Source organism: Homo sapiens, chromosome 13 (genome assembly GCF_000001405.40).
Source record: "Homo sapiens chromosome 13, GRCh38.p14 Primary Assembly".
NCBI classification, from domain to species: domain Eukaryota; kingdom Metazoa; phylum Chordata; class Mammalia; order Primates; family Hominidae; genus Homo; species Homo sapiens.
In genome coordinates this window covers 35,577,401-35,603,125 of record NC_000013.11, presented here as the reverse complement: position 1 = coordinate 35,603,125, position 25,725 = coordinate 35,577,401, and the positions used below count along the sequence as shown (strand labels likewise).

General features: G+C 35.9%; 1 protein-coding gene across 15 annotated transcripts in view; it reads right to left on the bottom strand.

Moving 5' to 3' along the window:
* NBEA (neurobeachin) overlaps positions 1 to 25,725 on the bottom strand; it is a 730,467-nt gene that overhangs the window by 69,611 nt on the left and 635,131 nt on the right. For 14 of the 15 annotated variants that reach the window (XM_047430271.1, NM_001385012.1, XM_006719803.4 and 11 more), the window contains 2 exons: positions 19,088 to 19,228; positions 9,679 to 9,798 (listed from right to left, as the gene is read on the bottom strand). In XM_047430271.1, coding sequence (XP_047286227.1) covers positions 9,679 to 9,798; positions 19,088 to 19,228 — 261 coding nt within the window. Of the gene's footprint in view, positions 1 to 9,678; positions 9,799 to 13,492; positions 13,641 to 19,087; positions 19,229 to 25,725 lie in introns of those variants that run through there. The other variant, XM_011535047.3, reaches the window with a different exon arrangement.

Below are 25,725 nucleotides of genomic sequence, written 5' to 3'. Positions count from 1 at the left end.
AAAGGATATAAACCCTGAAATGAAATCTGCCTTTTAAGGGGAAACTTTTCTGTTTAAAAAATGTTATCTTGCTTATTCAAGTTACATTTAAAAGGCTCAAAAGTATAAAATAGCTCAATTTAAATATAGAAAAAGTTGATTTTAAAGTTGCCATCAGAATTGTTCTCAAACTGCAAAAGTGGCAGAAGACTAATTTCATTTTCATTTAGGCACTCTAGAAAGAAGGGCACTAACAGCTGGCCTCCACCAAAGAACAAGGAAGGCCTAGAAAGATCTGTCTTGATGGTTCTTTAGAAGGGCAGGAGGAAGAATACTCCAGTAGGATCATTCAAGGAGGCCCTAACTGGGGCTAGTCATAGAAAGAAGTCGTGTTACCAGGGCCTTCAGGACACCCTTCTAAGTAAGGATGGTTTTTTTGGCTCCATTCTTATCAGGCCACCCAAATGTGGTCATAAATTAGGGCATTAACTAAGATGTAGATGTAAGCTGTTAGAGGCTTGATGTTTGAAGGGACAAAGAAACTCTCCCAGATTTCTCATAATGGAAACAATCACTAAACAGACATGTTTTAAACACAGATAGAAAGAAACTTCTGAAGCACAGCTTGTTTGCAGAGCCCCTAGAGGTTTCAAACACCAGAGCTATCAGTGACTAAAGCTCTCTGAACCCGAAGTCCAGAGTTGGGGATAGTTTGGAGTTTTGTGAAGGGGATAGTAGAGGAAGTGAAATCACAAGAAGTCTAGGGAGAAGTAGCTGAAGCAGCAGAGGTGAGATTTTTTTTTGGTCTCAGTTTTATTGTTTTACAATCTTGTTTCAAATAGCAAGTTTTATTTAAAGTTAGTGTATGTAAACACAAGACATTAGTATAATTTATATTCACAATTCCATTATTGAAAAGATTTGTTGTTTCAAAAATATAAACCAAAGAATATGAGCGTTTCATCTCTGAGATTTAACTGGTTATGTGCAAGAAGATGGCAATTACTACATTTGTGCTCCAAGGCCAGGAATCAACTTAAATGTTACCTGTGGTCATTCTGTTTTAAACCAGCAGGTAACATTTATTTTGGTACCTTTCTATGTCTTGGCACTGTTCTAAGTGCTTTACATATATTTTCTTAATCTTCACAAAAAGTTTGTGAAGTAGGTGTTCTCATTATTCCCGCTTTATAGACATGAACACTGAGGTAAAGATTGGGTGGGTAATTTGCTAATGGCTGCACTGCAAATTGGTAGTAAGGCCAAAAATCAAACCCAGATACTTTAAATCCAGGTTTCCTGCTCCTATATTCTGTATTCTGCCTTTTAAAGTAACAATCCAGTCATTCTTTTTTTTTTTCTTTTTTTTTTTTTTTTTTTTTTTTGCGATGGAGTCCTGCTCTGCCACCCAGGCTGGAGTCCAATGGCATGATCTCAGCTCATTGCAACCTACACCTCCCAGGTTCAAGCGATTCTTCTGCCTCAGCCTCCCAAGTAGCTGGGACTACAGGCGTGTGCCACCACACCTGGCTAATTTTTGTATTTTTAGTAGAGATGGGGTTTCACCATATTGGCCAGGCTGGTCTTGAACTCTTGACCTCGTGATCTGCCTACCTCAGCCTCCCAAAGGGCTGGGATTACAGGCATGAGCCACAACATCCGGCCACCATCTAGTCATTCTATATGACGTTACTCTGTTTTAATTTTCTGCATAGCAATGATTATTTTCTCTATTTATTGTTGTATGCTTGCATGTCCCATCATAATAGAAATCCCAAAAGGTAGGGACCTTGTCTATCTTGCTAAGAATGGTGCTAACATATAATATGTAATCCATAAATATTTGTGAAATTAAAAATGAATCAAGATTACTATGTTTACCATATCCTAAATTTCAGGCATTGAAATGTTGATTAAAAACTTTGCAGGCCCTGGTTTTCAAAGTGTGTTTCTTTTTTTTTTTTTTTGTTGAGATGCAGTTTTGCTCTGTCACCCAGGCTGGAGTGCAATGGTGCCATCTCGGCTCACTACAACCTCTGCCTCCCAGGTTCAAGCGATTCTTGAGCCTCAGCATCCCGAGTAGCTGGGATTACAGGTGTGCGCCATGATGGCTGACTAATTTTTGTATTTTTAGTACAGCTGGGGTTTTGCCATGTTGGCCAGGCTAGTGTCGAACTCTTGATCTCAAGTGATCTGTCCACCTCTGCCTTTCCAAGTGCTGTGATTACAGGCATGAACCACCGTACGCGGCTCAAAGTGTGTTTCTTAAAGAAGAGGAACCTCATGGCTACCAGTGAGTTGAAGATAAAGGGGGAAGCTGGGCAGGCAGCAGCATTGGGATTGTCCCTTCTTCTACCAGGGAAATGCTACCTTACATACATCAGAATCAAACAGGTCTGAGTCCAATCCAGACTTCTTGCTAGCTTGGGCAGGTTTCTTAACCTTTTGACAAAAAGTTTATTGATATGTAACATGGTGGTGATGTCAGCAATGAACTCTTAGGGTAGATGTGAGGATTAAATGAAATAATGTTTATAAAACAATACATTTCATAACTTTATATAAAATATATTCTAGAAGCTATTTGGTCTCAATTTTTTTTAGGGGCACGGATCAAAAATATTACTTCTGAGACTAGAGTTTACCCAGTACCAAAGTGCATCCTGTAATTCAGTAAAAAAGTTCTGTCACTGTGGATTGTGTTTCAATGAATAGCTATGTAGACAGTTCAGATGATGCAAGTATTTTTAGCAAATATGAGGAAAAGAATAGCTCACAGCAGTCTGAGTTATGTGAGGCATGCAAAAATTCATCAGGTCCAGAGAGACGTGCGTGTGGGACATCAGTCACTCATGCTGCCTCCTCAACCCAAGCCTGGGGAGCAACTGTTTAAAAAGGCATTTGGTTTCTGACCAGCTGCCTTACCCATTATCTTCAGTTCCTGAAATCGGTGATACAAAGAACAATGTATAGCCAATGGCTTATCTTATTTTAATGTAAATTCTTGGTAAGCAACTTAGGACCTGCCTCTTCTTTTTTTCTTAAAAACCCATTTATGATTGCTGCTAATCAGAGTGTATATTCAGGGCTACTTGAACCTATGTTATGGGGTGACCATTCTCAAGCTTTGAGCTCAAACAAACTTTACACTTAATCATATTTTCTGAATATGGTTATTTAAAGTTGACATATATATGGACTAACATATATTACCTAAACTAATCAGATGTATTTTATAAATTGCTTGCTCATGAGATTTTGGTTTATGTCTAAATGCACACTCAGACTGTAGAGAATGGTACAAACCAAACTAGTACTTAAAGTATTTTTTAAATTGGTAACTCACAGAGTTTTCTCATAGATGGCTATAACAGTCCTCCCATCCCAAGAGCAAGCCCTTTGGCATCTCCAGTTTACTCCTCCCATAAAGAGGTGGAGTCTATTTCCCCCTTGTCTGAATATGGCCTGGCTTGTTTCAACACACAGAACGTGACAAGGTGACACTGCAAGGCTTCTTAGGGCAGCCTAAGAGTTTAAGAGGCCTGGCAGCTTTTGTTTTAGTCCTCTTAGAAGCCAGTTACCACATGCAATAGAGTGGCTCCCTTGCTATAGAAACATGTGATAGAGACAGACATGCCCAGGCAGTTCCTGGCTGTTCCAGCCATCTCAGATGAGGCACAAGACATGTGAGCAAAGCCACTGTAGATTCTGCCGCCCAGTCAAGCTGCCCCACTGTCACTGTGTGGCTTAGAGGTTAGCTGTCCTTTTTGAGCCTTAACTCTGATTGCATAATTGTCGATGAATAAATAGTTGTTTTAAGCCTATAGGTTTTGGGGTGATTTGTTACAAAGTCATAAATGACCAAAACAGAAACTGAATCCTCAAAGTGGAGTGCTAAAGTAATAAAAAGAATTTAACACATGATTCTGGCTTGCGATGAGGCAGCAGGCAGAAGTGGGAGGGGTGGTGAGGAGCCTGGTGGGGTCTGGAAGATCAGCAAGGAAGTTGTTATTGGAAGCAGTCCCTCTTAAGTAGTGGTGGAAAATTAACATCGTCTTCTGCAATAATTTCAAAGACAGAACAAGTACCTAATAAGCATGTGCTTCTGACTTAGAAGATTTCCAGGCAGAATGCTGAAAGTGACCAATGGTTTCATCTAATGGTGTAAGCTATGCAAAAGAGATAAGCTATGCAAGAGAGAGATGAACTCAGGAAGAAACTGTTCAGTTTTGAAGCAGTATTTCAAGCAATAGAAGGGCCTAGAACACTCTCTTCAGTTGGCAAAAGATTCTCAAAATAAGACATAGGTTCAGGATGGAGATCAATTCGAAGGTGCTACAAGTAAAATATGGCCATAGAATAAAGCTAAAATCAAGGGTGTGTCTGTAAAACCCTTTTATAAAAGTTAAAATTTCAGGTAGTGTTTTTCAGACTTGCTCAGCTACACAGAGTGATTCACGAGAAAGGGATTCTTAGGGCATTATAAACAGTATCCTAATTCACAGCTTGAAAGAGAGAATCCTGTTCCAAAAGGATTTGTGAGTATTAGCTTTTTCTAATTTGATACACAGAAAGGCTACACAGTTTTAAAGCTGCTGTACCAACTTGGGAATATGAGGCTTTGGCCCTAACTTTCTATGGTCAGGAAGCATGCAGAGAAAGATACTCAGCTGCAAACCATGTTTATTTCTTCTGGAAACAAAAGAACGATTCAGAGGGCAAAGCCAATGTCCCAGAGGAAGTAACCAAGAGCCATGGAAAATAATGAATTAAGGAGCCAAGCCCAGATAACAGACCTGGGCCCTAATCCATGGACAGTCCCTGTCCCTGCAGTCTGGGTAATCGACAACTTATTCCTGGCTGCGTTTCAGAACTGCTATGAACATTGACTGCTATGTACCTTCCACATTCTCCCCCTTCTGAATGGAGTTTCTACCGAAGTTTAACTGTTCTGTCTTACCACCACATGTTGTGTGTACATGGGACAGATAATTTGTCTTTTTAGCTCCCAGGTCTCCAAATTAGGAATTGCTGTGCCTTATCTGTACCTGGGGCTTATGTAGACAACAAGATACCAGATTTTCAGTCTGATACAAATACTGGGATGGGACTTGTGGGGAACAAGTTGAGTATATTTTACATGTAAGAGGAATGTGAATTTTGACCAGATTCGGAGGACTGTGGTAGACTGTCTCCGAAGGTGGGCACAGTAATCCCTCCACCCTCAGTGACCTCTTGAAATGTGACTTTGCAACTCATCTCATCAGGAAGTGGAGTCCGTGTCTACTCTTCCTTATTCTGGGAGGGCCCCATGACTTGCTTTGAGCAATACAACGCTGTGGAAGTAACATGATGTGACTTCCGGGCCTAGGCATGAAGTGGCCTTGCAGCTCCCATTCTTAAAATCCTCTTGGATATGAAGCATCTTAAATAACTGGACAGACTCTGTGCTAGTACTGGCTTCCTCTTTACCTGCCTGCGTGTGAACTTAGGTGAGTCACTTAATATTCATGAACCTCCTTTACAAAATAGGGTTAATGACTACTACCTCATAGGATTGTTTCAAGGACTGTATCAACCAACAAAAACATGTTTGAAAACTATTCAGTATTATTTTAAAAGATGGGCTTATTTTTATAATGTGTAAGTGTACTCCTACAGAGGCACATTAGACACTAGATTGCATGCTTAAGATAACTGCTGTTCTGCTGACTCTCTTCCCATTGATAAATTTCTGTTAATCAGCTTCTCTTTAAGGAAAAAGTCTAAGTAGTTTAAAATTTCCTAAATGAAAAACAGTGCAGGAAAACACCAAATATTATTAAAGAAATGGCAAAATGAACATTATAGCAGACATTTTGTGTCTATAAATGTGATTTCTAGTTTATTTTAGCAGCTACACTAAAACCCCACGGTATAGTTAATAGTATTATATACATTCTGTCAAAAAATAAGAACATATCCTCAAATGCGATTCCTAATTTATAAGCTTATGACAAGTTCAAGCTGCTGAGAAATTGGACCTGAAAGTATGTCTTAGAATGATAGAAGACCACTATTAACACTATCATAATTGTATACCTATTGCATCAAATCTGACATTTCAGTTTAATATATTTTGCTGAGAGAGCGTACCATTTTATGGCTTCCTAGTGAAATCAAATCCGATCCAGACGTTTTCACTTTTCTAATATAATTCATTGCAAGGTTTTAAAGCTGCCATCTCTTTTCTTTCTTTTTTTTTTTCAAAAGACTGATGCCCTGGCATTCATTAATTCCACAAGAGCTCATAATGGGTCAATGAGTCAGTGGCGAGCACCTCCATTAACTGTATTAATTTACACTATGTCACCTTAATGACATTTTGTCACAGCTACCTTTTCTGACATCTACATAGCTATTCTAAAAGTAATATAACAACTTTTGAAGGCATTAAGGAAAATTAGTGTAAGAACTTCAGTGAGTTGAATGTCATTGTTACCAAGACTAGGCTAGAGGGAAAGAAATTTAAAAAATAATAATAAAGTAAAAACTAACTAGTCTGACTCAACTCCAGAGACCTCTCTCCTGAAAGGTCACTTCAGCAGCACTCCTTCTTCCCAGCTTGCGTTCATTAGCACAGGAAGAGACTGACATTAATAGAGACAGACAGAATAAAACCATCTACTGCATCCTAGTTCTCTCCTATGTGATTAACTGACTAAGTTAGTAGACATTGCAGAGATACTTTTCTTCTCTGGAAATGGAAACACACTTCCTTAAAAAATATATCATGCTGTGCTTTAACAGCTTAGAAATAAGAATAAAAACTTTAGGTTCTAACACACAAGTAGCAAAACAATTACTACTCGTAGCAACATATTTTTCTCTGATAAATCAGGTTTAATCATGAATTCAGAAGATTCTCAAGTTAGCACTAGTTATTACCCAAAAGTCTTATCTTCTCTTTAACACTCTGGTCATGAGGACCTCAAATTCTGATGCTATAGAGGGGAATATAAATATATTTGACTGGACACACACACACATACACACACACATGCACACACACGCACACGCACACACACATTAAACGAACCATAACAAAGCTAAGACGACCAAGAAACCCTACTTGCAATGGAACCTTCTGCAACTTCAAAGATCTTTTTCAAATCAGTAAGAAAAAGACATGTGACCCAACTGAAAAATGAGCAATAGATAGGAGTCAGTGTACAGGTCAATAAGTACATGAAAAATGTTCCACGTCACTCAAAAAAAAATGCAAACTAAAACAAACATAACTTAATTTTTCACTTGCCAGACTAGCAGAAGTTCCATTGTTTAATACAATAGTGATGATGGGTGTAGGGGGCACGGGGAAGGAGGTACCCTTGCACACTGCTGTAGAGAGTGAATTTTCATCTTTGAGGATGATGGTTTGGCAATATCTTAAAAAATAAAAAAAGTATATTGTCTTTGAGCCATCAGTCCCATTAATAAGAATTAGCCTTTATGTATATAGAAGGAGTCCATCAGGATGTCTGTGCAAAGATGTTCACTACAGCCTTGTGCTTCATAGTAACAATCAGGGAGAAAGATTCTCCATCAACCAGAGATCACATATATAAATTATTGTATATATGTAGCATGCTGCCTTTAAAAAGAAAGGGGAAGTCTACATGGCAAGATATCTAAGATGTATTAACATATAATATGAAAGGTTCATGAGTGGTGGTAAGAGAGCTGAAAATGAGAGCAATCTGTGTAATGTCATCCTGGGGAAATGAGCTTCTTATGAACTAATTAAGTCTTTGGGGAAAAAAAAAGCTGCATGTTTGTGTTCAGTACAGCTGCTTGAGGATAAAAAACAAAAAAACTCCCAAGTTAGTGATATCCACATTGGTCTTTGTCCTGGATGATGTGAACCCAGGAGCCCCCCAAATACAATTAGTAATAAAATGTAAATGTTTCTGAAAGGGTTTTGAAGAGGAAAATTTCTGGGAGAATTTAGAGGAAAAAGCCCGGTACAGGGCATCGGTTATCAGAGACTGGTGGTATAAAGCATCAGTGAAATTCTCAGGCTAGGAAGTGAAATCTAAAACTGTATATAAAAATTAGAATGACTGACCCCCAAATATGTGAGGGTGGATCTCTGAATTAAGTTGAAAAGCCAATTTGTGTGTGTGTGTGTGTGTGTGTGTGTGTGTGTGTGTGTGTGTGATGATGTCAAACAACAGTGAGCAGGCATTTTCATTTGAAATAGGCTGATATAATATGGATATAGCTCTGATTTAAAATATCAATAATCTTAACTGCGATAAGAAGCCTTCAATTACAGATAAGAATATTTAATTCACATACAAAATATTTGAGTGCCTTTTATGAACATTGTGTGAATTCTGGATACTACTGTTCAATGGGAGCCTATGGACTCCCATTTTCTGTATTAATTCTCAAAGTGTTATTATATAAGAAACAGACTCCCTCCTTGACTTCACTGGTAACAAATCATTTTAAATGATGGCTTATGGATATTTTAGAGTTTAAGTCTCAGCAAAGTTGTAAGACCGTTAGAACTTCAAAGCTTAATATAGTAAGGATGCATATTAAATTCTCTTATTTTTTTTACAAATGTAAATATGTTGTATGAATAAATATTCATTTATGTAAAGTTTGACAACAACAAGTAAAACACACAGATATGTTACAATCTACTTGGCTCCATTTCCTTTATTTTCTGCTTTGGAAAAATACTGAACAAAACTTGTATTCATCCAATTACAGTTCAGTAACACTGAAATTGCCTTTTACAAATGTTTTGCAATAGAGAAGCATAAATATGTGAATGACAATTTTGATTTTAACTCACTAACTTTTGTTGGTTTAAGGCTCTAAATGGAATGATACCGTAACATTTTTGTACTGAGTGACAGTAATGGGAAAAAAATGTGCCTTGAAGAAAATGAGCTTAAAATAAGAAACACATTTACCTATGCAATAACCTGGCCATGTAACCTTATTATCAGGAAAAAAAATGAGACAAATGAGAGAACAAATATATATTATTGCTTTGAATACAATGTTTTTCTTTTTTAAAATAGGAGCCCATATAAATGAATAACAAATCCTTGTATTTAACAATAGTTAAGCAGTACCAACTGTAAAATTACTCTGCTCTCTGGCTGTTTCTGGATATTGTGTGTGTGTTGGTTTAATCTAATGTGTATTGTTGCATAGTATCCCCAGGCACAGTCAAGTAAAAGCTAAGGCTATACGGAAAAGCCTACATTTTAAATGGGTCTTGTCATTAATGCTTTATTAATTGCCCCAGGCTACGCAAACCCCAAGCCAGGCAAGCTATAACAATATGACACATTAAGGTCAAATCCAATTCCTGCTGTGTTTTATGGAATGGACCAAATATTGAGTTAACAGCAGGAAAGGCATTTTATAGGCTTTTCACATCTCCTGATTATTTGATCTAAATTAGGTAGGAATTTTTTGAAATAACGAAAACACCTTCACTGGGTAATATGAAAGAATTTTCAGTTATTTTCTATAATGTTCAAAATTATTTCCTATAAGGTTAGATGTACCATATAATTTTAATATGATGGAACAAAGCTGCAATATAAAATGTCTTATACATACCCACTTAAAAAAATCAAAATTTCCACATATTTTGAAATTTAATGAATATCAACAAATAAAAGAGCCTACCTTTACATCAGAAGTATCTCTCTGACTAGTTCTCCAAGACCTTGCAACGGATGAGAAGGTTCGATCTGGATGATCAAATTTTCCATCATTTGCATTGAGGAAGAAGGTTGTGAAAGGTTCCTAAGCAAAAAAACAGAATCAGAAATTTGACCACTCTAAACACAGCTGCCCTCGTTCCTTTGTGAAACATGGCTATCTTGAAAATCCTTCAAGATGTGGAGGCAGATCAGGGTCCTAGAAAGATGCCCCCAAATTAAGGCAGTAGGAGATGCCTGTCTGGGCTTGACTAGGCCAAGGCAGCAGTTGTCAGTCTGCAACTCTGGCAGGTCATTTTGCTTCTGGTCTTCTCATCTGTGAAATGATGGGGTTCCAGTGCTCTACGATTTTCTGATAAATAATTTTGCATTAATGACAATTCATAAGTTGGATTTTTCTTTCGAATAATTAAGGCTATATATACACTAACATTGCAATAAGAAAAATCACTCTGATACTGATCACAAAAATCACTCTGATACTGATCACAAAAATCACTCTGATACTGATCACTGCAGTGTGGAATTAGGTAGAGAATGTCCATGATTACCTGTGAAAGACTACGAAAGTATTAGTACTACCTTATGGTCTGATAATGTTTTTAAAATGCAAATCCCTGCTTAAAAACCTTCAATAGCTCTTGGGAGTGATTAGGAGAGAGTCTAAACTACCTAATTTGTTTTACAAGAGGCTGAATGATCTGGAACCTGCTTAACTCTTATCTCTCACCATTCCCCTCTTCACACTCTAAAATCTTGCCACACTACTCTCACCTCTTGTCCTTTGTCTGTGATGTTCCCTAGGCCGGGTATAAACTTACCCATTTATTTCACTATTCTGACCTGACTAAGTTCTTTTTATCCTTTAAGACTCAGCCATGATGTCATTTTCTCCTGAAAAACTTTCCTTGCGCTACCACGGCTCTCCAGTATGCTCAAATAGCAATCTGTGTTTCCTCAAACAGCACTGAAACATTTATCACACTGGTTTTAATTGATTGTTAATCTGTCTATATTCCCCACTATGAGTAGGTTCCGTATCTACCTTATTCATTGTTTTATCTCCAACACTTAGAACAACTCCTGGTACATAGAAGTTGCTCAATATATAATCTGTTGAACGAAGAATAAAGTAAGTACAAATGACAGTAGATGAACTAGACCTTTTTGCATTCTGTGACTATTGTCTTTGGATAACATAGTGTCTGCCATCCAGTACATGTTCCTATAGCAGAAAACCTAGGAATAACTTTATTGCAATGTCCTAATGCATTTAATTTTAATGCTTTACCTGTAATTCTTAAGTTGGGAGTTCTCACACTGGGAGTTCTTAGGTTGTTCTTATGTTTTTGATGTCATTAAATTTGCTTCCAAGTTTAAAAGGATTAAATAACATTCATTTCTGCTAAGGATTTCTTAACTACAATTATAGCAAAGATAGATACATATTTCCCTTTCCCTGCTTCAATTCTTCTCTCTCAAGTCTAGGATGAATGACATGTCATTCCCAGGTTCAATAATGCTAAGAAACCTACATGACATTTTCCAAAATATTTTAGTCCTCTTTCTTTAATATGTAATCTCTGTTCATTCCTTTGTATGCTTTACAATTCCTTTGTATGTATGTACAAAGGGGACATACTTTGCCCCCTTAAACTCCCTTTCTTGCCACTAACCTTAAGGGCTGGCTGTTGGAGTAAAAGCAACAAATACTGATCTTCCTCAATATCTCCCTGAAATTTAGTATGGCCAGATGTCATCAATTTTGTAAACTTGTAATATGTTGCCACTATTTCATGTTCAGTGTTGGATGAGAGAAAAGGGTGATGAAAGAGATAAGATCAACAATGAAAAAACAATATACAAGTAAGGGGGACAGTATTGATTCACCTGAAAATCAGATATGCATCCAAGAAGTCCATATTGCTGTTTAGGATTTTAAGTGATATGAGAAATAAATAAATGTTAGTGAAATTAAGTTAGAAAAAAATTATATGACATGTCTTTCACTAATTTATTTGCTTTTTAGATGTTTAATTCACTATTAAAAATAAGGTAGTGAAAATAACATATCTGTCACTAAATTATATTAAATAAAATGGGGATATAAAAATTGTAGATGCAGCAATGGTAAACTGAATGCAATATGACAGATTTAAGTTTGAATCTTGGTGGAACTATTTCTCTATCTTGGGCAAGCTTACTTAACCTTAAGTAACTGTGTCAAGCAACTGTCTCCATTCCTTCATCTATGTAAACTGGGAATGACAATACCTTGGGGGAATTATGGGATTAAATAAGATTAAATGAAATAACATAGAGAAAGCTTGATGTATCTTACCTGGCACAGAGTTATGAAAATGACTACCAGCTTTACGCACTGTACCAAGTATTCACTGTTGGACTTCCCACCAGACTGCCAGTTCCTAAGGCCTTATTTATCTCTCTATCCCCAGCCCCAAGCACAGCACATGGCTAACAATGTTTAACAAATGTGTGTTAAATACACCTAAACATACAAGGTATTGTTGGGAGATGGGAGTATGGTGGGTGAGAGTAAGATACGGGTTTTCTTTTCAGTTCTTAACTACTAGTAGGTTTGACCAAAAAGTTTTATCTTCAGAACCCACTTTATTATTGCAGGATGCTGATGTAAGGCATTTAATTTTCACTGTAGGTAGTGGGCAGAGATTAATTTAGAGGGATCAGGCTTGTCTCTAGGTTTTTTAACCTATTAAACAGATGTGAGTGAAAACCCATTTATACATGCAAAGCCGTACTTCTTATCATCAGCCGCTAAAAGCTGATCTCCACCTCAACCTAAATTACAAAATCCTGTCTAGTTTTCAACTCTTAACAAAGACATGCCAAGAATAGCACAGATGGGCTTAGTGAAAAGAAATCTGAAATTAAAGAATTATATTTATTTCCGGTAACAAAGTTATGAATGAATCTGGTGGCACCTAAAAGCAGAGAATATTGAATTCCACATTTCAGTGTTTTAAATAGCTTTTAAAAAGATCTGATTAACAACTGTCTTAAGGTCACATATTACATTACTGACATATATTCTCATTATACCTGAAGGCCTCCAGTTGCTACAGTGGTAGAGTACTAATAGAAATTGATAACCTATTTGTTTATAAGTAAGTATTGATCTTTCAAGCTCTGATTACTGTGGAGATTGCTTTTTCCATGTGTTTCCCTTTTACCTTCAAGCCACAATGCAGAGCCTTTCTTTTTCATTTGACTCATGTCTGACTAACATAGAGGATTAGGTGCTATATTAACCTTAAAAAACTTTTATATTTATTTGCCTACTACCTGTCAATTGGGCCATTTTCCATGTGTACATCAACAGATTGGACATTTCACCATTATATTAGAAAAGTTTTAGGCATGGGAGATAAGATGTATAAATGAATACATATTAAACGGTAATTTCAGGAATTACAATTCTGGAACTCGTTAGTCTTTACAAAGTTCAGGTTAGGTCCTGCAATATAAATGGCCAATGGCAGACTTTCTTCTCCTAATTACATCCACTCCAACATCATTTCATATCTTCCAACCCTTTTTCAGTGATGGAAAACTCACCTTGCCTGCACTGGAAAGTACCTGTCCTTCTGTATTCTATCATACCCCTTAGTCCCCTCTGAAGACACTAACAGCCTTTCTTGCTTTTGGATGATTACAGATCAACTAATTCCATCGTGGGCATCTAATGCCGTTTCCCTGTTGCCTCTTCTCTTTACTCAACTTCTTCATTCTTCTGTCTTACACGATTTTCGCTTAGTCATCTCATAATAATCTTTTACATCCTTCGCTTCTTGTAGTTCTGTTCTGTTCTTCTTTTCCTTCTCTTCATTCCATTTAAAAGCCAAAACAAATCTCGTTTATGGGTAATAGGTAGTGCCTGGGACATAACTATAGCAAAGAAAAGATGTATATTTGAAGTGATTGGAAGCATAATAAAATACAAAGGGAAGGGAAATAACAGCTACAAAGCATTTTTCTGTGCCAGGCTCTGTATTATCTAAGTTAACTGAATCCCTACTATCGCCCTTCAGAGTAGGTGTAATTATTCCCCTTTTATATCTGAGAAAATTCAAGGTCACATTCTAACAAATGGAGGAACCATTATTTCTAATGGCCTTTGTCTAATTCCAGAAGTTTATTTTCTCCTATTTCTCTTCCAAGAGCCAAGAAGTATCTTTTAGAATCTTCCAAAAGTTTTCACTAATTAACCTATGTACCTACCATGCACTAGGCTCTTGGTTAAGTATTTCTCATCTTCCTCTGAGTAAATATGCATTGTCCTTAATGCCTCAGTATTCAAGATAAACAACAATATTTTATTCAGTAGCACTATCTTTTGGTTTTAGTTACAACACTTGCAAAAATGTTTCTACTATACATATATACTTTTAAAGACACATTATGGTTTAAAGAGGCTTTAGGGTAAGCTTTCAAAACAAGCCATAATTTACACAGAAAGTGTCAAATTCTAAACATCACTTCCTTGGAAATTATGAAATGTTTGACGAATGAGTTTTGAATAGGAGGGTTGAATATACTGAATTTGGAAGGTGAACGAGTTACTGAGTGGTCAGCAAGCCAGGGAAAAAGATTTAATTACTTCTGTATACATGTTATATGTCTAGGGTAAGTTGTAAAGTAAAAACATTCCAAGTAAAATGTGTCTTTTAATATTAATATCTGAAGAAACTCCAAACACTGCTATAAGTTTATTCATGATTTGCCCAATGGCAGCTGTCAGGAAAACAGTCTTTTCAGGGTCTCATATTGTAGACAAGTGATTTCACTGGTAGTTTGTTTAAAATAATATTTTTAATTTAAAGTAATGAAGTATGTAGTTAATTAGCATTTTTAAGCAATTATTATTGTTGTTATACTAAGTACATTGAAACAAATAACAAGTTTAATGACTAGGTCTAAAAGGTCTAAGGTAAAGGACAGACACTTATTTTAATGTGTATTTTATTTTTGTGAACAAATTCTTAGTGACCCAAATTTTAATGCATTTTCTATTTCATAAACTCCTTGGAATGGGAGTGAGGACATTACAATTCCCTGGACCATAAGGATAAATACTTAGTAAACCATTAGACTGATACTTTTATTTATAACCACGTGACATAAGATATTTGGGCTGAGTCTCCAAAAAAGCAGTTTTATAGATCTGTCCAAAACAGTAGCCACTAGCCACATGTCACTATTGAGCACTTGAAGTGTGGCTAGTTCAAATTGAGATGCACTGTAAATATAAAATACACTCTGAATTTCAAAGACTCAGTACCCTCCCTCCAAAAATGTAAAATGTAAAATGCCTTATTTTACATTTTTATATTGGTTACATGTTTAAATGATAACATTTTGGAAATAGTAGATTAACAAATATATTTATTAAAATTAATTTTACCTGTTTCTTTTTTTACTTATAAATGTGGCTACTAGAAATTTTAAGTCACATGGTAGTTTACATTATATTTCTGTTGTGCAGCACTGCTATAGACAAGGGCATGTGTAGGATAAATGTGCAGAATATTCTGGCATACCCTTGCATAGATTCAAGTTTGAATTCCATTTCGCTGGAATAATAAATCTACTTAAGAATAAATTCTGAGTTATGATTTGAGAAAGTGTTTAGCTGATTAGGGATAGATGAGGTTAACTTAGGCTGTTCATAACAAGTATTCTTATGGAGTCACACTTGAAGAAGTCTTGTAAATCTGGCTTCAGACTAACTTGATTAGGTAAAAAAACAGTGAATACCACTTTATGTATTTCAAAATACTATCATATATATACTCTCATTTAATTCTCCAAACAACCCAGTTGATAACATTTTCTCAGGAAGGACTCCTGACCTTTTTCCTCATCCCCAAAGTACCTGCAAGAGGTGTCCTGCTCCCTCCATGGTGGTGGCTCACTAAGGCAATGATTGTCATTGACGGGACCTGAGGTGGTATGAAAAGGCCTCCCAGGGTGAAAATCTCTAGTTTCAGTGTTTTCCAAAAATTTCCTTTGCTAACAGTTTTGGTGGTCCCCTTGAGAGTTCCATGTGGACTAACCTGATGAACTCAAATTGACTGTGTAGCTTAAGAAATATATCTCATGGGCTACTTAAGCCCAGGTACATCTTTTCTTAGCTTCCAGGGTGGACCCTAGGCAGCAAACAGAATTTGAACTCCAGTGACTTTTTTTTTCTAGGTTTTAAAATTTACTCCTTCTACTGATTTTTTTGTTTGTTTCTGGTTTCCGCACAGCTAATAGGTAATTTTCCACTGGCGGCAGTAATGATTGAGAATGTAGTTTTGGTTTTATGGTCTGATCATTTGGTGATCAGCGAATCCAATTAATTAGTTTTTTTGTATTCTTGTCTGACTATTTGAGAGTTCAAATCAATTAAGAGCATATTTTATATCTATTATAAAGAAAGCCAGCTCTTTTGAGATCTTGACTGGTAAATTTTTGTGACTTTGTTTAGTTTTGACTTGTGGCTGAAACTGCAGGTTGGAAGTTATAAGCTCTTTATGTGTCCATGTATCTGGAATTTGAAAAGCATTTGCCTCTTGTGAGTGTGAAGTATTTTCCTACTTCTGGAATTATTATTATCACCCAGAAACTAAAGATGCTCTGTTCTGATTGCTTTATAGAGATAAATAGGCAATGACATAAATCTAATATTCTCAAAATTAACAGAAAATAAAAAAGAGAACATCTATACTTTAAAAGTGCCGGATTTAAAAAGTATTTCTCAAGAAACTTCTAACTCAGAAACATTTTTTATAAAAGAATCCAAGTTCACAGAATTAAGGTGAATGTTTGGATAAACTAGACTGATTTAATAACTTTGGTCTAAAAATAGTTTTATGTCTTTTCCTTTAGTTTATCATTACAGAGTTCATTTTTAAAAGTAAGATTTGGGTTTGTTTTCTCAAAAGACTAGTTAGTCCAGACTTCCTTAACTTCTTATGCTGGTGTAGAATTATGAAAGGGATAAAATCTGTGCTCAAACAGAATCATAATTCTGACAACATTTTTCTTAACAAAAATAATTGTAGTTTGTCACCTATCAGTGGTTTCCAAGTTACTTAAAATGTATTCATACTAAATTTCTGTAGAAAGTTAATTTTTTCCCCATAATGGAGAGAATGCCTAAGGAAGACCTACAAACTAGAGCTGTCATTTAGGTGAAGGGAAAAAATATTTTCGAAGACAGGAGATGCAGTTTCATATACTCTGCTTTACCAATGTGTTTCTTGGACACATCAGCCCCATACAATAGAGTGGTCTGAGGTATATCTTAATAAGGGGAAAAATTATTGATTAAGAGATTTAATTTAGCATTCTACAATACTCCTCAGTCACTTATAGTGCTCCTATCTAGACCAGAATGGAGAAGGCAAGAATAAAGGAAAAGAGGTTTGTTAAGAGCTTTGGCAATACTCTAGGCGAGAGAGAATGGGAATCTAAATTAAAGAAAGTGCCACAGTATACAGAAAAGGAGATAGAGATATTTAGTTGGTAGAATCTGTGGATGTCTGACTGGATGTAAGAGGTTGGAAAGACAGAGAAAATATCTAGGAAAAAGCTTCCCAATTTCTAGATTGGGCAGCTGAGTGAATAATCACGGCATTTAACCACAGCAGGTACATGAGGGAGATGAGGAGTTCATTTATTGAAATGCTGCTTATGGTACTGTGAGATGTTCAGGTAGAAATATCTAGTAGGCACTTGGAAATATGGGTCAGGAACCCATGAGAAATGTTTGCAAAGAAGAGAGAAGCTGGAAATCACTAGCTTGTAACTGAATGACACAGCTCAGCTGAAATATAAAGAAAAATCCTGTAGAAGAGGAACATTAAGGAAAAACAATCTGAACAGGAGACTGAGCAGAACAGTTAGGATGACAGGAGGCAAACCAGGAGAGGGTATTGTAAAAGGAACTTGAAAGAAAATTTCAAGGAGAGATTAGCAATAGCGTGAAATGCTTCAAGAGACATGATAGGTAAAAAATGGGATGCTCTATCTGCATAATATGTGACCTCCCCAAAACAGTTCAGTAAAGTGATGGATGTGGAACTGAAATCAACCAGGCTAAAGACTGAATGGGAGGTGATAAAGTAGAGGCAACAGGTACCACAGTGCACTGCAGGACAGCAGAGGTTGTGCTTTCAGGAATCTGACTGTGCAGGGAGAGAGATGGGAAAGAACTTCAGAGTGGGCGGAGGCTGGCAGGAGGCTTTTTTTTTTTAAGGTCAGTGAGACTTAAATATATTTATGTCCTAGGAGAAAGAGAAAAGTAACAGAAAGAGGTTTTCAAAACATTTGGAAACTGGTTTTAAAACATGCTGCCCAAGAAGAAAGAATGAGGGAGGGGGGGAGAGCAAGTGCCAGTGTGCCTCATTTGTGAGAAAGGAGGCAGTGGGTATTAAGAATGCACTCCAGGGCTAGGTGTGGTGGCTCACACCTGTAATCCCAGTGCTTAGGGAGGTAAGGCAGGAGGATCACCTGAGCCCAGGAGAACAAAAGTGAGAGACCAGCGTGGGGAACAAAGTGAGATCCCATGTTTAAAAATAATAGCTGGGCCGGGCGTGGTGGCTCACGCCTGTAATCCCAGTACTTTGGGAGGCCAAGACAGGTGGATCACCTGAGGTCAGGAGTTCAAGACCAGCCTGGCCAACATGGTGAAACGCTGTCTCTACTAAAAATACAAAAATTAGCTGGGCGTGGTGGTGGGCATCTGTAATCCCAACTACTCTGGAGGCTGAGGGAGGAGAATCACTTGAACCTGGGAGGCGGAGATTGCAGTAAGCCGAGGTCATGCCATTGCACTCCAGCCTGGGCAACAGAGCGAGACTCTGTCTCAAAAAAAAAAAAAGAAGAGAAATAAAAAAATAATAGATGCGCAAGGTGTTACATGCCTGTAGTTCTAGTTACTCGGGAGGCTGAGGCAGGAAGATCCTTTGAGCCCAGGGGTTCAAGGCTGCTGTGAGCTATGATAGTGCTACTGCAACTCTAGCCTCAGTGGCAGAGTGAGAGACCCTCTCACTGAAAAAAAAAAAAAAAAAGGTATGTACTCAATTTTGGCTCCTTTATAACTGGACAACTGGTTTGGTTTAAGCTCATAATACCTAGCAACAGATAACTATCTTCCTAATCCAATTTTGCAAATGAGACAACTCAATAAAAAAAATTCATATTTTGCTACTTTGAAATCTTTAATTTCTACTTCACTCGTCTCTAATCTTTGTTAATCAAATTACAACTGATTTGATTTTTATTTAATTTACTTATGTTAAAATTTTAAGGTACCAAAGGCAAGCTAACTCAATGAAGATACTCACAATTCGAACAAGCCAGGATAAAGTAGATGTTGCTGTTGAATAATGGGTATTATAATGGTAGGGTGGGCTTTGATCATCTTCCCATGTCTCATAACGCTCTGCATAAAACACAGCTCTCTTGGGGTTCAAAGCACCAATTGGCTATTAAAAGAAAAAAAATATTTTGTTTAATACAGTCATATTAGATATCCTAGATAATAAATCTTTATACTTTCAGTATTTCACTGTTAATTCATTTTAGCCATACAGCATAAATACATTATTTTGTATTACATTTTTAACCATACTGGATTTTGATATTAATTACAAATCATTACACTTGTTATAAACTGCCCAAGAGGATAATTCATAGTACAAAGTATCTAGACTTTACCAAGTTTTTGTTAACTAGATTATCAGAGGTGATCTAGTTTAAACTGTTAAGGCCACACCAACAGTTTCGTTATTTTCCTTCTACTTAATAAGCTACATAATGAAAATTTAGCTTGGAATACAGGAAACCCAATGGAGGGAAGGTGAAGAGATTGACCATTTGACAACCATATTAGTGAAAACCTTGTCTTAACAGCCAGTTACCCAGAGTGTGAAAGACAACCCTCCATATGGAAGCCTGATAGAATGTTAGTCTCATTCTGTTAGTATATAGATGGAACAACTATCCTTTTTACTGTTAAACTACACACCTAAGGGTGATGGAATAATCCAGGAAATTCGGATTCCTTGGAAAGCATTTTGCTGAGGCCACTAAGACCTCTCCTATCAGTACCACCACCCTATTTACTGATTATGATGCTAATCCCTATACTGATTTCTTCAAAAAGCATGTGCTTAATTGCATCACAGTCTCAAAATTTTAGCACATCTAATCATTAGGAATTTCCAGCATACCATCTTCATGATTTCAAATAGCAAACTGCCTTAGCTTCAGTTTTTGTCTGATTTTGGATTAATGGTATACAGAGTCCGTGCTTATGGTATCAAATAAGCACATTATTTTGATTTAAGTTGCATACTATAAATTAAGTATGTTTACAGAGAAAACAAGAGTACTAAGTACAATGTCTACTTTATTTCAAAATTTAATATTTATAATTAACTATGAAGATCCCTCGAAGGCTTAATTTTAACAAGAGAAGTAGTAGAAAATTAGTGTTTCAAAGGGACACATAATGTTACACAAGAGAGGAAGATTCATTTATAAATTGTTATGAGCCTTTTCTTTTGGCCTCAGGAGACTAATTCAAATAACACAATGAGGTCATCAGCAGTAAAAAGTCTGTTAGAATTTCCATAATAAACTCTTATTTGCAAGGGTGCTTATCCTGAATATTTAAATTACTTGTAAATTATGTTCATTTTTTGTTAACTTTAATTATGATTAACAAAGACTCAACAATTTATATAAAAGCTGTATTTTTCACGCACAAAAGTGTTAATATTTTAAGGTTCCTAAACTTTTTTGTCCTCATTTTGTAAAACAAAGTATGACAGTATAAAAATTTAGATTTTTTAAAAAGTTCTAAGGTTTAAATTTTATTGTGTTAAATTTCATTATCTCTCAAATCTCTTTAGATAGATGTAAAAAAGGGAATGTAATTTTGTTAAACATTACATAAAATCTTAATATTTAAAACAACATAATTACATTATTGGTAAAAGTAATTGCTATAAAGTGAAATGAATGTAAGGTCTGTTACGGAATTGAAGTAATGAGTTTTTTATTTTTTTATTTTATTTATTTGTTTATTTTTTTGAGATGGAGTCTCGCACTGTTGCCTAGGCTGGAGTGCAGTGGCGCGATCTGGGCTCGCTGCAAGCTCCGCCTCCTGGGTTCACGCCATTCTCCTGCCTCAGCCTCCCGAGTAGCTGCGACTACAGGCGCCCGCCACCATGCCCAGCTAATTTTTTGTATTTTTAGTAGAGATGGGGTTTCACTGTGTTATCCAGGATGGTCTCAATCTCCTGACCTCATGATTCGCCCGCCTGGGCCTCCCAAAGTGCTGGGATAATAGGCGTGAGCCACCATGCCTGGCCGAAAGTAATGAGTTTTTCATTTAAAATTACCCACATATTTTATACTTTACTAGATGTTCAGATATGTTTTTCTAACTCAGTATATTTTTCTTTTTTTTTCTTTTCTTTTTTTTTTTTTTTAATTATACTTTAAGTTTTAGGGTACATGTGCACATTGTGCAGGTTAGTTACATATGTATACATGTGCCATGCTGGTGCGCTGCACCCACTAACTCATCATCTAGCATTAGGTATATCTCCCGATGCTATCCCTCCCCCCTCCCCCCACCCCACAACAGTCCCCAGAGTGTGATGTTCCCCTTCCTGTGTCCATGTGTTCTCATTGTTCAATTCCCACCTATGAGTGAGAATATGTGGTGTTTGGTTTTTTCTCCTTGCGATAGTTTACTGAGAATGATGATTTCCAATTTCATCCATGTCCCTACAAAGGACATGAACTCATCATTTTTTATGGCTCCGCAACCTACTCATCTGACAAAGGGCTAATATCCAGAATCTACAATGAACTCAAACAAATTTACAAGAAAAAAACAAACAACACCATCAAAAAGTGGGCGAAGGACATGAACAGACACTTCTCAAAAGAAGACATTTATGCAGCCAAAAAACACATGAAAAAATGCTCATCATCACTGGCCATCAGAGAAATGCAAATCAAAACCGCAATGAGATACCATCTCACACCAGTTAGAATGGCAATCATTAAAAAGTCAGGAAACAACAGGTGCTGGAGAGGATGTGGAGAAATAGGAACACTTTTACACTGTTGGTGGGACTGTAAACTAGTTCAACCATTGTGGAAGTCAGTGTGGCGATTCCTCAAGGATCTAGAACTGGAAATACCATTTGACCCAGCCATCCCATTACTGAGTATATTTTTCAAAGCACTGAAAATGTTTAATACTTTGTTCTGTCGTGAATATGCTAATAGACCTCTCACGTGCATAAAATGTCTGTGCAATCCCTAAGGTTTGATCTTAACTGATACTGTTTGTCCTGTAAAATCTCACAAAACATTCTTTAAAAAGGAGCATGTCTCTTCCTCTAATCTTTTTCAATCTTCTCTTACACTTCTGGAAAAGGAAAAGTAAATACTTATATTTTTTATTTTACACAAGTTTCATCAAAGTCATGTTATTGCAGTGTTTTACAGAGTAATGCTTTGTAGGAAACAGTTGCACAGTATTAAAGTCTGTATATGCCTCCATTAGTAACTTCTTAAAATGTATTTCTAATTTTGAATTTTTACCTAATAAGGTTAGAAATTACTTTTATGAAACATAATGCAAGTGATTTGCTTTGTACTTAATATTTTTCTATCATTTTGCTTCTAACAGTCAAACAGCAATAAATAATTAGAAAGCAAAAAGCTTCCAAATGTTTGGGGAAATAAGAATTTTGTCATAGATGACATTTGCTTAAGAGATCCTAATAGATACCTATCATATCATATTTATCCATCTATCAATCAATTACCTACTTACCTACATACTGACAAGGTTGTAAGTTTGCTATACTTCAAAAATTTTAGCAAATACTGCAATGTCAATATCATCTGATTTTGGCAGATGAATATGGTAAGAATTCTGGTCAAAAGGTAAGGCTACACTTAATAAAATTTATAAATTTACTTTGCAATATTTTTCAATTTTCATTATAGTTACTACATCAATAAATAGTGTCCTTTTCTGTCAAACAGTGGGCATTTGGATACAGTGACTTCCGCACTTTTTAAGTGTTACCATATACAAAAGTTTAACTGAAAGTTTAAAGCCTGTTTTTAGATTTATTGCTGTTTTGTCTTTTTTAGCTTTTATGTTACAGGTGAACACTTTAACAAATAGGAAAAAATGGTGCAAAAAATGCAAAAATGAAAAATAAAATTTCTATCCCTATAAAACTTTATTATTATAATTCAGTTTTTAAAACTGCTAAAAAGCCTACATAGCTTGCAAAAAGGCACTGTTTCCAATATTGAAGAATCAAAGAAGTGACTAATGTAAAAAAATTCACATTCCTTATAAAATCTACGGGAAATTACATGTGTAGCATTAGGATGTTCACATGAAACACTACTGTAGTTAGTGAAGAAATAATGCTGAGAATTTTCTCTACTCTTATCACTCAGTTTCCCTGTTTTGAAGACCAAAGAGAGAAATCTGTCTCAAACTTCAGTGCCACAAAAAGCTTGGTTTTCCTAAAAATAAAAACCTTTGTGACTTTATTACATGAAACAAAAATCCTACCAGATGTTTGTGGGGATTTACGTGATCTTAAGGCTCTGATAAATACTATAGTAAATATAATTGTTTAAATGTGTTTATTCCAGTGCTTATTTTTTAAAATTTTTAATGGGAAATACATACTTCTTTTGTTTTTAAAACAACTGTTTAGATGCAATACCTTAGATTGTACCTTGAAACATTCTGGTATGTATTTGATGTGTATTTCTGCATGCTAACTTTTTCTTTAGTTTCATTTTGCTGTTTCCTCTTTCTGTCATCTTAGCCTTGATTTACCAATATTTTTCTATCTTTTAAACCTGCATATTGTACCAAGCCCTTTTCTTAGGACAGGTATAAAATATATAAATTTAGTAAGTAAAAATGACCACAAAAATTATATAAATAAAACATATTGGATAAATGGTATTATATGAGACATCAGAAGAACTTTTAGAGAACATAAAAGTCTGAGCACAGAGTTATTGATTTAAACAAATACAAATAAATAAATGTGGATTGATCTGATGAATGGTCAATGTCACCAAACTACATTATAATTTTCAAGAAAAAAAAGTTTGTCAAGGACAAATCAGAGGCCTAGTTAAAGCAATGTCAATAACACTGAATTCTAATATATCATAAAAAACTGAAAATGGTAATGATGTTCATGGTACTAGGATTCTACTGTTACATAGGTTGAGCATCCCTAATCCAAAAGTTTGACATCTGGAATGCTCCAAATTCCAAAACCTTTTGCATGCCAACATGACACCATAAGTGGAAAATTCCACACATACGTACTTAACACAAACTTCATTTCATGTACAAAATTGTTAAAAAAAAAAAAAAGTTTAAGATGACCTGTAGGCTATATGGAATATGGTGTATATGAAATGAAATAATTTTTTGTTTAGGCTTGGATCTGTTCCCAAGCTATCTCATTGTGTATATGCAAATATTCTGAAATCTGAAACAATCTGAAGTCTGAAACACTTCTGGTCCCAAGCATTATGGATAAGGAATACTCAAACCTGCACACATAAAATGTTCAAGAGTTCACTACTGCTATTACAACTGCTGATGATACTATATATTTGTATAACATATTGTCTTCACATCCATTTTCTAGACTGATTTTCATAAGTATCTGAGGTCAGCAAGGCATTCAATACGAACCTAATTTCATGAGGAGGAAACAGGTACCTGGGTCTCCACATTCCACACTACTGCACTGCTTTTTCATTGCTAAATATGAAATTCTGATCTTAATGTGACTTTATTTTTCAATAGATATGGAATCTCACTATGCTACCCAGGCTGGTCTCGAACTCCTGTCCTCAAGTGATCCTTCTGCCTTGGCCTCCCCAAAGTGCTGGTATTACAGGTATAAGCCAGTATGCCCGGCCCTTGATGTGACTTTTTTCTTTCATAATTTCCTACTTAATTCCTCATTCCTCACAGATCCACAGAAATGGAAGGAAACATTCAGGTAAACTTGACCAAATCTCTTACAAATGAGTACACTGAAGAAAAGTCAAATGAAGATCATGTTGCTAGTCAGTGGCTAGACGTTTTACAGAACCAGCTGCAGCTCTGTGCTAGATACAGCTTGAAGCTGGGTATATTTGACTCATTTGTCTGGCTTCTAACAATAGCTTTTAGTTATCTCAATACTTTTAAGACATTGAACTGCTAACATATCTAAGTTATCGTGTTATCTTTTGTAATCAAGGGCTTGAAAATCCTTAGAAGAGGCTTTGAGAGTTCTTACCTTTTTTGTTTTTTAGTCATGAACTACCTGTCATCATTCTGAAAATTCTGTTATGACAACATAGAAATCATACCTACAGACACTTCTGTGCTCAAGTAAATTCCCGGGCTCCCTTTTTATCTAAGGAACTTCAACTCATTATTTTGGAGGTTTTTCAAATTGCATCTGTAAAGCCTTACATGACACCATCTGGTAATAGGCAACTTTCTCATCTTTTTAACCCAGTAGTGTAGCCCTTCGAAGAAACTCCCTGTCTTTTATTCATCTCTTTATTCTCACACCTACAGTACCTGAACCTTTTTAAGCGAGCAATAAATGCTAAATGAATGAAGACTGATTGACCCAATTATATAATATTATATAAAATTTCCATGTGGAAATTTTAGAAAAAAATTTTATGCAAAAATCGAAAGACATAACAAAGTGAAAAATATTCATAGCACATAAGAGCTAGTTTCCTTAAAAATGTGCTCTTACAAATCAATAAGAAGCTAATGAACAATCTAATTAAATAAATGAGGAAATGATATGATGAATAGGCAATTCACAGAATAATAAATGCCAATTTCCAATATATATAAGAAAAAATAGTACCAGTTCCTACAATG